Here is a 13,002-nt window from a genome sequence, read left to right on the forward strand (position 1 = left end):
CTGGTCTGTGTGGTGGAAACGGGTCCCTAGCTTTTCCCTGACACTGGAAATCGGGGAGTGTGATGCATGCGATGGAGTCTGGACGTCTTAGGATTGCTTTGGAAATTTAGGAAATTTCATGGTCTCACGTGAGTTTTACCATTGCTTATTCATATTTCTTGAATCGCATTTGCCAAATAGTAAATGATTACACTGTGAGGATAGATTGGGACATGTTGGTCCACGCGTACACTGTGGAATGATGACATCATGCTATTGAGTGTCTCCATGACCTCATACCGCTGTGAAAATCTCTTTGTGGAGGCCGGGCACAGTGGCTCATGCCTGTAATCCCAGCACTTTGGGAGGCCGAGGCAGGCAGATCATGAGGTCAGGAGTTTGAGACCAGCCTGACCAACATGGTGAAACCCCATCTCTACTAAAAATACAAAAATTAGCCAGGTGTGGTGGTGCGTGCCTGTAATCCCAGCTACTCAGGAGGCTGAGGCAGCAGAATTACTTGAACCTGGGAGGCGAAGGTTGTAGTGAGCCAAGATTGGCCACTGCACTCCAGCCTGGGTGACTGAGCAAGACTCCGTCTCAAGAAAAAAAAAGAAAAAGAAAAAGAAAATTTCTTTCTGATGAGAACATTCTGAATCCTCCTTTTCAAGCTTTTTGGAAAGAGGTGCAATGATGCCATGAACTGTCATCACTCTGCTGTGGAACAGAAGAGCGGAATTCCTCCCTGTCATCTGAGTGTTACTTTGTACCTGTTTCTGGTCCCTGTTCAAGTCTTCTCTTCCACCTCCCATCTCTGGTAACCAGAGCTGGGGCTCTGCTCTCCTGCCCGGTGGAGCTTTGACTGATGGAAAGTCTGTCTAGGGACAGGGAGTGGGGTAGAGAAGGAGGCTCCAGGAGGCCCCTGCCCCTGCGCGCAGGCAGAGCAGGCTGTGTTCCAGGAGCCCGGGCTGATTGAGGAACACAGGTGGATTGGCCAGAGCATGAGGGGTTGGGGAAACGCCTGGCTTTTTTTTCCAAAGTTGGGAAGGAGGGGTCCTTCCCTTCCCATTAGAAACCTTTATTTGTCCCAACTGAGGGGTGGGTGTGGGGTGTTAAATTTAAGATTTGAAATAGGTGGGGATGCTGTACAGGGGGGTCCGGGAAGGGGGCTGGGGCCAGGCAGCAGGTCAGTGCACCTGAAGCTGGGGGTGCCCATGGCAGAGGCCTCCTGGTGGCTCAGGGGGTGGGCCAGCTTCTCTGCCTCCTGCTCCACTGATTGGCTCCCGTACCCCCGTCTTCCTTCATCTCTGCTGTGCTGGGCAGCTTGTCTCAGGTCTCTGGACCCCTCAGCAGCCTCACTCCCTCCTCTAGGCCAATGCCAGACAGCGCCTCCAGCAGACCTGCCAAGTCCTCGCCAGCCAGCTCATAGCTGTGCAGGAGGCTGTCACTGGGCGAGGCCGTCTGTTGGTACATGTCCACCAGGCTGCGCAGCCCCAGCCGCTCTGCCAGCTCTGCCCAGCTGCCCTGGGCTTCTGGCCCATCTAGCAGCTGCTCCAGGTTCTGCAGGGCTGTGTCACCAAGTGACAGCCCTGGCCCTGCAGGGCTGGGTGGGGTCAGGGGCAGCTAGCTCCATGGTGTTCAGAGTGGCATTTAGCAGCAAGGTCTTCACCTTGGTGCTGTGGATAAGGTCGAGGCGTGTGGCCCTGGAAGCTGCTTTGGGTGTCCTTCTCAGGCCCCTCTGAGTCCCAGTCGTTATCAGAGGTAGGGGGTGAGGGCAGTGGGCACAGGGGCTCCTCATTCTCAGCATAGATGTCAGCACTAGCCTTCAGAAGGAGGGTGAGGGTTGGGGACTCCAGTCCAGCTGCCAGGTGCAGGGGTGTGTTTCCCACAAAGGTGTGAGCATTCCCATTGGCCCGAAGCTTGGTGACCAGATGGGTGACCAACCCCAGCTCCTCCATCTCTGTGGCTAGATGCAAGGCTGTTTGGCCCCCTGCTACTCTGTGGCCTCCACTTCAGCCCCACTGTCCACCAGCAGATCCAGGCACTTGGGGCTTTGGGCTTGGGCCGCCAGGTGTACTGCAAAGTCAGGCATGTGCAACAGCCGAGGCACAGCGGGAGCTCCACTCCAAAGCAGTGCATGCAGCAGCTCAGAGGCACCAGGGCCTGCCTGCAGTGCCAGGTGCATGGCTGAGTCTCCATGCCAATCAGCAGTGCTGGGTCTGCATCCACCTGAAGCAGAAAGCTCACCACCCTCATCTGCCTGGTGATCACTGCCAGGTGCAGGGGTGTCTGGTGCAGGTGGTTGGTGAGGTTGACGATGCCAAGGTGCTGGGTGTGGTAGATGACATGGGCTATGTGCTTGATGACCCTGGTCGGCCCATGGATGATGGACAGGTATAGTGGCGTGTCTCTGTTCTCGTCCTGCTCCAGCAGGTGGCATTGTCCCGCCAGCAGTGTGCTGGCGTCCGTGGTGACACCATAGTTGAGTAGGGCCTGGGCGCTGCGCTGTGCCGTGCCACACCAGGCTGAAGAGCGTTGTACTCTCGGGCTCACTGCAGCATCTCCAGGGCCTGCAGCTGGCACTGGGGAGGGGTCCTGGAGGGGGCTAGGGCTATGGCCGTGCGGGGCCAAGGCTAGGGCTAGGGCCAGGTCTGCACTAGGGCCAGTGTGAGGGCCAAAGCAGGATCAGGGCAGAGCCAAAGGCAGGGCAGGGCAGGGCAGGGTAGAACAGGCCCAGGGTAGCACAGGGCAAAGTTAGGGCAGAACCAACCAAGGCAGATCTATGGCTCTGCGGCTTCCTCCTGAGTCCCTGCCGGGCACTAAAAGCCTGGCTCTTTTTTTTTTTTTTTCCAGACGGAGTCTCGCTTTGTCACCCAGGCTGGAGTGCAGTGGCGTGATCTCGGTTCCCTGCAAGCTCCGCCTCCCAGGTTCACGCCATTCTCCTGCCTCAGCCTCCCAAGTAGCTGGGACTACAGGCGCCCGGCACCACGACCGGCTAATTTTTTGTATTTTTAGTAGAGACGGGGTTTCACCGTGTTAGCCAGGATGGTCTCGATCTTTTGACCTCGTGATCCGCCTGCCTCGGCCTCCCAAAGTGCTGGAATCACAGGCGTGAGCCAGCCAGCAGGCGGCGCTCGCGAGAGTGCGCAGCTCCCGCGAAGGGCCTCGCGGGCAGGCTGAGGTGCGCATGTGCCCTGGTGCCTAAGGGTTCTGGCCGGGGAGGCGGGGGGCGGTGGGAGGTGGGGGGAGGGCGGGTGCGCCACCACGTGGCGCCCGCGAATGGAGGGCGCGAGGCTCAGGGCTGTTTCTCCGCGGATGGCCTCGTGGGCCGGCTGAGGTGCACATGCGCGCTGGTGCCTAACGGCTCTGCTGGGCTAGGTGCTCCTCCGAGCAGCTGGAGACTGGAGTGTCCCTGACGGAGGTTGCGGCTGGACCTGGTTACGTGCTGGTGCTGCGCTCCAGAGAGGCAGAAAACGAGTGGGAGCTGAGGTGTCTTAAAGCCGTTCCTCAGCCTGGGAGAAGATCTCTGGCTTCAGGATGGAGGTCAGGGGGTCGTTCCTGGCGGCCTGCAGGAGACGCATGGCTACCTGGAGGAAGAATCGTGACAAGGATGGCTTCTCAAATCCCGGGTACCGAGTCCGGCAGAAGGATCTGGGCATGATCCACAAAGCTGCCATCGCAGGTGATGTGAACAAGGTGATGGAGAGCATCTTGCTCAGGCTGAATGACTTGAACGACAGGGACAAGAAGAACAGGTAAGGGGAACAGGAAGCCGGGAGGAGGCCTGGGGATATGGGAGAAGCCCCTGTTCCTGGTTTCGGGGTAGGGGAGATACGGTGTGGGGTGAAGGCGTGGGTGGGGTGGAAGTCAGGTGAGGGTGGGTGGGGTGGGGGACTGTGGTGGGGAGTGGCTGGGGGGCGTTGGATGTGATGGGGGACTGTGGTGGGGGTAGAGTTGGGTGGGGGACTGTGGTAGGAAGTGGAGTTGGGTGGGGGTTGGAAGGGGTGGAGGACTGTGGTGGGGGGTGGGATGGGTTGGGGGACTGGTGGGGAGTGGCTGGGGGGCGTTGGATGTGATGGGGGACTGTGGTGGGGGTAGAGTTGGGTGAGGGACTGTGGTGGGGAGTGGAGTGAGGGTGGGTTGGGGTGGAGGACTGGTGGGGGGTGGGATGGGGTGGGGGACTGTGGTGGGGAGTGGCTGGGGGCGTTGGATGTTGGGGGGACTGTGGTGGGGGTAGAGTTGGGTGGGAGACTGGTGGGAAGTGGAGTTGGGTGGGGGTTGGATGGAGTGCAGGACTGGTGTGGGGGTGGGTGGGGTTGGGGACTGTGGTGGGGGGTAGAGTTGGGTGAGGGACTGTGGTGGGGAGTCGAGTGGAGTGAGGGTTGGCTGGGGTGGGGGTTGGATGGAGTGAGGGGACTGGTTGGGGGTAGAGTTGGGTAGGATGTGGGTACGATGCAAGGGTGGGGGTGGGGGTGGGGTGAGTGTTGTCACCAAGGGCACTGGGCTTTCTACCCTGGCAGCCTCAGCAGCACCTGGGATGTGGAAACCTTGCCTTTCTTCACAAGAAAAGTAACTATTTGTTCTGAAGGCAGAGGGATAACATACTATTGGATGTTTACAATTGCATGCGTCGTTGTATGTTTTGGGACTGTGCACTACAATTGCCTAAAGCGACCTCTCATTCTCACAGGACTGCTCTACTTTTGGCGTGTGCCCATGGCCGTCCAGGAGTGGTAGCTGACCTGGTGGCCAGAAAATGCCAGCTTAACCTCACTGACAGTGAAAACAGGACAGCTCTGATCAAGGTATATGGTAGCCAACTCTTTCAGCATGGGATGGATTTAATTTAAATTCACAGAATAAAATTAATTCACCTCATTGAAATGTGACTAGTTGGTGAATCCTGTGGAAGATTTCCTAGAATTTACAGTCTATTTCTTGGTCTAATACTGACAGGCTGTACAATGTCAAGAAGAAGTTTGTGCATCCATCCTGCTGGAACATGGCGCCAACCCAAATGTTAGAGATATGTATGGCAACACTGCTCTGCACTATGCCATTGATAATGAGAATATATCAATGGCAAGAAAACTGCTTGCATATGGTGCAGATATTGAAGCAAGAAGCCAGGTATGATCAACCAATGTTCTTTTCAAAGTATTTCAAGTATATTTGTTTTACCATTGACATATGATTTTTTTTAGTAAAACATCTGAAACTAGAAGGAAATATATTACGTGCAAATATTTGCTTTACATACAACTATTTAAAAATACATTCATAACAAATATGAAAACACGAGGTCTGTAGTCTAAATGTGTCCCATAGATTTAGGTTAGTTTACCTCCATAAGCTGTGTCAACATGTAAAATTTAGGAAACTCATACACATGTCTAGATTTCAGGCTTCTCTTAAAGGATCACATCTGGATTCCCTTGAGCTCATATCACTGTTGAGTATGCTGTGCAGCGGTTATCCCTTTATGTGAGGCATATGTGCTCCAGTCTGCTACTGTGCCTTCCAGACACCCTAGGAGGGGTATCTGAAAGGGAAGGAGCAACATGTGGGCAAGCACAGTGGAGTGAGAAGGAAGGGATTGCTTTTTATTTACTTTCTGCTTCATGTTTAAGTTCATAGGATCTTAACATAAGGTTTTCAGTTCAGTTGGGAAGTATGTAATTTTGTGAATTATAAATTGTTTTTGCTGTTTTGCAGGATGGACATACATCACTTTTACTCGCTGTAAATAGGAAAAAAGAGCAAATGGTGGCATTTTTGTTGAAGAAAAAACCAGATTTAACTGCAATAGATAATTTTGGAAGGTACAGTAGTTCTTTTTTTGTTCATTTTTAAACCTGAGTGGTGTTCTAGAGTGGTAACAGTCACTTGTCAGAAATATTAAATTGATAAGATTAACTTATTATTATTGGGATAGAGAGAAATACCAGCAGAAGTCATCAGGTAGAAAAACAATTATTTGGACTGGGCAACATAAAAAATAGTGTATTGCAGGATTTGTCTTCTCTTATTATATTGACTGATGTTTGTTGATGGATGAGGTGATACTTTGAGTCATATGATCTTAACTAAAGGGATGTCATATTGGTTTTACTTGTTTTAAAAGTGTAGACTTCAACTTTTAGTTTACTTTGTGACTCAATATTGAAATTTCTTAACTCTTTTATAGTAGTTTCAACCTCTGCTTCTTACATGCTTTTCCTTTAAAAATACTTTGTTAAAGATAAATTAGAGTTGAAAATCATTTTGTGTTTTGGATGACTCTTTGCTTTAGCTTGCTTTCTCTCAAAAATATTAATGTTAGGTTATTCCTAAGTGACTATTAATTGCTATTGCCAGATACTGTGGGTTCATTGGGTTTTTTCTTCTTTTTACTTCTAGTGTATTTTGGTGTTATTTTTAATTAGTATGGGCAGAGGGAAAAAAGCTAGCTTCAACTGGGTGAACTTTTAATGACTACAAGCCATGGGTGACAATGAGAAAAAAGAGATCGGCTATAGATTCACACAAGACTGGGTTTAATTCTTAGCTTTTCTGCTTACTAGATGTGTGACCTTGGGAACATTACTTATCACCAAGTGTTTTCCTTTATGAAACAAGAGGATAATAATATATCCTTCCAGGGTGGTTGTGTATAAGTAATATATGTATATATGGCATTTAATCCAGTGCCTCGCATATGATTATCAGCATTCTTAACTGAAACTACTGTGGCTATTATTAGCATTATTATTATTGTTTTAAACCTGCAGATAGCTCTTATTGACCCCACGCTCATTTTGAATTACAATATATTATATCAGACTAGGGAAGAAATGGATAATTTTTCACTTAAATTTTTAGCTACTTTAGATAAGTGACCTGAGCATAGTATTCTGCCCATCAAAGGACTTTATTTTATCAACTTCTGCTATGTCATATCCCAGTGGGACAAGAGGCTTCCTTGTTGTTCCTTCTGTTTGGCTTTGGTGGCAATTTACAAAGATGAACCCTTGAGCACCCAAGATGTTTGTGTTTATTAGTACATGTAATTGGTTAATTCTACATGGACAGGCATATTAAATTGGTAAAGTTTATAAATTTAGCTTTTAACATAGCTTTGCTAAAGTTCCTAAGCATGAAATTATCTTTCTTATTTTAGAACAGCCCTGATACTTGCTGCTCGTAATGGATCAACAAGTGTAGTCTACCAGCTTCTTCAGCACAATATTGATGTCTTTTGCCAAGATATATCTGGATGGACTGCAGAAGACTACGCTGTTGCTTCTAAGTTTCAAGCGTAAGTGTTAAAAAGGCTAGTGAACACTAAATTGAGGTTTAAAGTCATTGTAACCATTGCATCTTATATATCAAGTGAGATTTCATAGTTTGGTTCAGGTAGTTTTGGAGTGGCAGTGAGTTAGTCCACTTCATCAGCCAGAAATCAAGCATAAGACTAGACAAGTTAGAAGTAGCAATGAGTGTAGGATTCTTTAACTCAAGTCTCTTAAGACTTCTATGCTTAGTTATTCTGTGAGTCCCTTGTTTGTCTTCTCTCTAGCAAATATTAGTTGGGATAGTTCTAACCTGTTAGAGATGTTCAGATAGTGTTGCAGGAAGATATCAAAGTTTTTTCTTCTTTGTTACCAGATTTTTTACCCCAAGCCCCTTTATATCTTATGTAGCAGCTTTTCTTAGATAGAGGAGGGTCCCATGTTGTCCGCAGTGGGCTCCAACTTGTGGTTGGCCCCTCGAGTGATCTGTTTTCCATAATAATAAAAATCTCCCAGCCCACTTGCTTCTCCACCTCAAGTTTTTAAAATATCTTCAAATATTACCTCATAGGAAGCCATTAGTCAGAATTATCTGTCTCAAGTAGGTGAGTTGGACTGAACAGAGCCAAGCTTCATCCATGACTGATCAGCATCCATTTATAAAAGTAGAGCTTTGTGCTTGCTTCGCGGCACATATGCTAAAGTTGGACCAATACAGAGAAAATTAGCATGGCCCCTGCATAAGCATGTCACACTAATCTGTGAAGCAGTCCATATTTTACACAGTTACAAGAAGGCCATTTGACTAGTTTGCTGACAAGTTCCCGGAAAACAGTGTGAGTCAAAGCAAAACAGGTGCTAGCCAATAATGAAATTACACATTTTCATTACAAAAACATTGGAGTAAGGTATCTATGAAATGAGAATGGCGCTGAGTAAACTCGTGGTGTGTTGTGTGCAAATATATTGTTAGTATGTATCTCAGAAATGAAAAAATAACCACTTGCATCTCCTTCATGACCCTTCAAAAATATGAGGGTTTTTGTCTTCCATGTCAGTTGGGGATGACCATGGAGAGGAAGCATCATTCTAACAAAGATCTGCCAGTTCAGAGTTAGAGTCTATAGAGGAAAAATAGTAGTAGTCCAAGCCAGGTCTTGACATCTGTTAGCTTTCTGCCTTTGGTGTGATTGATGACATAAGTAACAATGGATAATCATGTTATCTATTTTAATGAGACAATCTATTTATCAATTTAGTTACAAACTGTGAAATAGTTGAGATGTCCTGAATCATAAGCTACAAATAATAGAACAAGTAACAAGCAAAATTAGGACTTAACAACATTTTCAAAAGATCATAACATTTTAATATTAGAACATATGTGAAAATACACATTGGGTTTCATTTGGGATTCCAAAATAATTTCAGCAAAAAAGTTCAAGAACAAATTATTCCATTGCTTTACTATTTCTCTGAGCACCTTAAAATGTGGTTTCATTAAACATTTATAATAACCTAGTGAATAAGGTAGTAAAACCTTCATTCTTTAGAAGAAGACATTGAGCCTAAGAGAAGAGACTTGTTCAAGAACAAATACCCATTGGTCCTATTATGAGTCAGATCATTTTCCATTATGTCAACTTCACATGAGTTAATTTACTGAGTTATACTGTCCTCACTTCATACTTTTTTCTTCTTTAATTAGAAGCTTAATAAGAGTTTTGTAGAGCTTACAAACTAAAAGTGTATAATTAAAGTTCTGATATTGTTTGATATACTCTTAAGAATTTAATGTATTTGGTAAAGTTTTTCATATCAGTATTAAAATAGTAATTGTATTTACTGCATTTTGATACATAGCATTCGTGGAATGATTTCTGAATATAAAGCAAACAAGAGATGTAAAAGTCTTCAAAATAGCAATTCAGGTATGACTTCTGATAGTGAATTCCTCTCGATGGTCCTGTCATAGATAAAAAAGTAAGAGGAAGGAAGTTTTGATCACAAAACAGCAGTTTAAAAAAACCACTGTAAATTGAATGTATATTTTTTAATTACTTTCTTAGTAATCTAGATTTCAGAATTATTTAAAAAGTTACTTGTAGGCAAGTTATAATCTCAAGCAGTATTATCTGAAAAAAACTCATTATCGTAGTTTCTGAAATTCTAGATGATATTTTTGTGTAAATAAGAAAAAAGATTAAGTTAGTATGTGGTATGTTTTCTTTATAGTCACCTTATGATGAATTGGATTTGTTATAACATTGGATATTTTAATTTATAAAACAAATGCTTTGCATTTAGTAAATACATATTACAGCTGAGCCTTGAGTAGTGTGGGATTTAGGGGTACCAGTCCCCCATTCAGTTTGAAATCTGTATATAACTCTGGACTCCCCCCTAAAACTTAACTACTCATGACTTATTGTTGACTAGAAACCTTATTGATTATACAGTTAATTAAGACATATTAGTTATATGTATTATATACTGTATTGTTACTACAATAAAGTAAACTAGAGAAGAAGAAACTTATAAAGAAATTCATAATGAAGAAAGAATATATTTTTATTCAGTGGAAAGTGGATCATCATAAAGCTCTTCATCCTCAGAGTCTTCAAGTTGGCTAGGCTGAGGAGGAGTAGGAGGTAGAGGGAGATTGATCTTGCCATCTCAGGTGGCAGAGGCAGAAGAAAGTCTGCAGATGAGCGGGCCCTTGCAGTTCAAACCTGTGTTGTTCAGAGATTAACTCTGACATGGTGATTTGTGTCACTTAAAAAGTAACTGTCTTTAAAATAAGAATTTCAATGAGACCTTTCTGGTACCATGAACAAACATCAATAAGAACTGTACCAATACCAATAGGATGTTATTTTTTAAAGATACCTACTGTGTAGAGAAGTCAGAAAATAAATTCCTTATTGAGAAGCACAGGCCGTGTTACATATTCTCATACCAAGAATGTCTCACTAGTATTGACTTAATTCCCCCCAAGTGGAAATAAAATGAGATATATTTACTTCGTTAGGGTGAGATTTGTTCTATCTGCTAGTTAATTGTCATGATAATATCAATTTTGTTAGAAGAAGACACTCTGTTACCATTAGCTAAAATATTATTATAATAATATTCGAATAGCCCAACTCTAGGCTCAGCACATTATAGTAAAAGTACAGCAACCATTACCAGAACAGACCGGGGGCTGCCTCTTTGAAGTAGGACACATGCTGTGCCACACAGCCCCACAACTTAAAAATACATGTAGGATAATGGTATAATTAAGTATGATGTGTTGCATTAAAAATATGCCACAGCACTCTCCCATAAGCTTTGACATTTATCCTCTCAGGATCATGATTTGCTATTCTTAACTGAAAAACACTTTTTTTTTGCAAGCCATTAGGTTCATTTTGGAATGTGTGTACTTTTCTTTTTTTTAATTATACAACATTTTATTTAAAAACAATTCATAGAATACATTTTCACATTAGAGATTCCCATAGTGGGAAAATAGCAATGTATTACTTATAGTTTCATATTCATGGACAGATTGTTTCAGAACAAGTAAAACACATTTGAGACTTGAGTCTCAGTTTAGAATTTGTAATATTTTGATATGTCTACAAGGGGAACCTTGCCCTTAAATGGAACTTCTCTATATTCAGAAGCACTCCAAGCTTTTCTTCCTAAGATTTAGAAATTCATAATGTGAGATATCAGCATTTCCTAATTTTAAAATTTCCCCAGTATATGTAACCATCAGTAGGTGGTATCTACTGAATAGAGAGGGAAGTTTTCAAAAACTGAACACTCTCTAATTTTCTGCGATGTTTTTATTCATGAATTAACAGTATTTCCCTTTGTCCATCATTCCCAGGGCAAAAACAGAAATTTGATCATATATTAATAGTAATAAAGCTGGATTCTCTTTAAGAGATTGATAAAAGGCAAAAGCTCGTATCATGTTTAGTTATACTGTGACTCTTATGAGAAGCTGGGAGGCAACCCCATTAACTCACCGCAATACAAAACTCAGTCTCACAATTTCTTAGTCGTAATTCCTCTCAAACCTTTTCCTCAAATATTAAATTTGGAAAACAATCTTGTGATTAAGAGAAGAAGGCTGTCCACCAATGGACTTACCCTGTTATTTCTTCCTTATTGTGAGTTGAATGGCATGACAAAGCAGAGGCAAAGAGGCATACATCAGTTCTTCAAAGTATTAAGTCAGAAAGGTCAGAGCTTCCACAGCGTGGCAACAGCTTTGCAGATGCCCACATCATGGTAGTTGAAATAGCAAAGCCCAGCAAAGGTTAAAGCTGAAAGTGCCAGAAGCTCTGCCTTGGGAGCTTTCTGCAAGGCATCCCCATGAACATAGTCAGTAACAACTTGTCCAAGGCCCGAGTAACTATGAAGAGTGAGGGTTGCAGCAAGGAGTAGAGTCCGTCACAGAGCCAAGGATTCAAATAAGCAGCTGGAAGCAGGCCCAGGAGCAAAACACTGACGACCCTCTCACTAGTCCAGTGGAGAGACGCAACCTGGGAACCAGAATGGTGGCTTGGTGACAAGCCAATGTACTCACTCCACACCATTCGGGGGTAGGTCGGTTCTGAAGTAATGCTGAGATAGGAGCAGGTGTGACCACTGGGGTTCGCAGCAACAGAGCTCAGCCTCCTTGGGCACCGCGAAGGGTACTCAGTCTCCAGAGAACCGCCATCTCATTCCTGAAAACTCAAGGTCATCCACCAACCCCCACTTTGTATTTTAGTTATAGTCGGTTAAAACATAAACTCGCTTTTGAAACCTTAACTGCATGTTTTATGAAACCTGTATTATATAAAACTGTTTGTCTGGGGAAAGAGCCAGAATCAGAGAAGAGTTTACACAGCTGTTGAAAAATGAAATTTGTCAGAATAGTAGAGGAAGACATTTCAGATATAATGAACGGGGTGTATATGGATGAAGGTATAAGCAGTAACAGTCATATTGGAAGTTACTCATAATAAGAAGCAGGTTTAGTGTGTTATTATAAAGGTAATATTAGGAAGTAAAGAACAATATGTAGTGTTAGTTTATCTGTTAATACTGGATTTTCAAATTTTGTTTTTCTGATGGTTTTGTTCATTTATATTGTTGGGTGGATTCATTTGTGAGCGAATCTTTGAGATGTTGGTCTATGGCTTGAATCTGGTGACATCTGGTGTCTTGCCAAGTAGTTTGTTGAAGTTTTGGAGAACTAGAAGTAATTCTTAAGAAGTAGATATATCGCTAAAGATTAAGCTTCATTAAAATTCTCAATTTATAGAAGAAAAATATGTTATTTTCTATTTTTATAAAGACTAAAGTTTTTATCTAATTGTTCTAAGTAGTTCATTTTAACTAAATATATGGATTTGTGAGCAGAACAAGACTTAGAAATGACATCAGAGGGAGAGCAAGAAAGGCTTGAAGGATGTGAAAGTAGCCAGCCACAGGTATGTAAAAATTTAATTTCAAATTTCTGGTTTTCTTTGGTAATGTAGCATAATCCAAATGAAATTACTTTTGGACTAGCCTTTTAGAATCAATTGAATGTAATTTAATAGTTAATTTTAATAACATTTTAACTGTTTATAAAATTTAAAGTGTTCTAAGAATCTACAGTGATTTTACAGCTAATATTACCCTTGGAACTGAGGCAAAAAGTTCCTGAGTATTGTTTGCTGTTCCATTTTTATAACCTAATGTAATAAAGAAAGTAATATCAAAT

The 13,002-nt window shown here is 43.5% G+C and overlaps 1 protein-coding gene and 3 pseudogenes across 2 annotated transcripts in view, besides 1 other annotated feature; 2 read left to right on the forward strand and 2 right to left on the reverse strand.

Moving 5' to 3' along the window:
• LOC100533852 (nuclear factor kappa B subunit 2 pseudogene) lies at positions 1,017–2,585 on the reverse strand (annotated as a pseudogene).
• Positions 3,342–13,002, forward strand: part of ANKRD62 (ankyrin repeat domain 62) — an 87,842-nt gene continuing 78,181 nt past the window's right edge. For both annotated transcript variants that reach the window (XR_001753188.2, NM_001277333.2), the window contains exons 1-7: positions 3,342–3,734; positions 4,670–4,784; positions 4,936–5,109; positions 5,695–5,801; positions 7,139–7,276; positions 9,114–9,181; positions 12,657–12,727. Coding sequence is in view for 1 of the 2 variants with exons in the window: in NM_001277333.2 (NP_001264262.1) it covers positions 3,517–3,734; positions 4,670–4,784; positions 4,936–5,109; positions 5,695–5,801; positions 7,139–7,276; positions 9,114–9,181; positions 12,657–12,727 (891 nt within the window). In the remaining variant the exon portion in view is untranslated. The remainder of the gene's footprint in view (positions 3,735–4,669; positions 4,785–4,935; positions 5,110–5,694; positions 5,802–7,138; positions 7,277–9,113; positions 9,182–12,656; positions 12,728–13,002) is intronic.
• Positions 7,860–8,029: an enhancer, noted in NCBI's record as "active region_13100". NCBI's record gives its function as "activates an Ori minimal core promoter by ATAC-STARR-seq in GM12878 lymphoblastoid cells {active_cell/tissue: GM12878}" and the evidence as "EXISTENCE:reporter gene assay evidence [ECO:0000049][PMID:35858748]".
• RNU6-324P (RNA, U6 small nuclear 324, pseudogene) lies at positions 7,926–8,031 on the forward strand (annotated as a pseudogene).
• SDHDP1 (succinate dehydrogenase complex subunit D pseudogene 1) lies at positions 11,201–12,005 on the reverse strand (annotated as a pseudogene).

This window comes from Homo sapiens, chromosome 18 (genome assembly GCF_000001405.40).
Source record: "Homo sapiens chromosome 18, GRCh38.p14 Primary Assembly".
Lineage (NCBI taxonomy): Eukaryota > Metazoa > Chordata > Mammalia > Primates > Hominidae > Homo > Homo sapiens.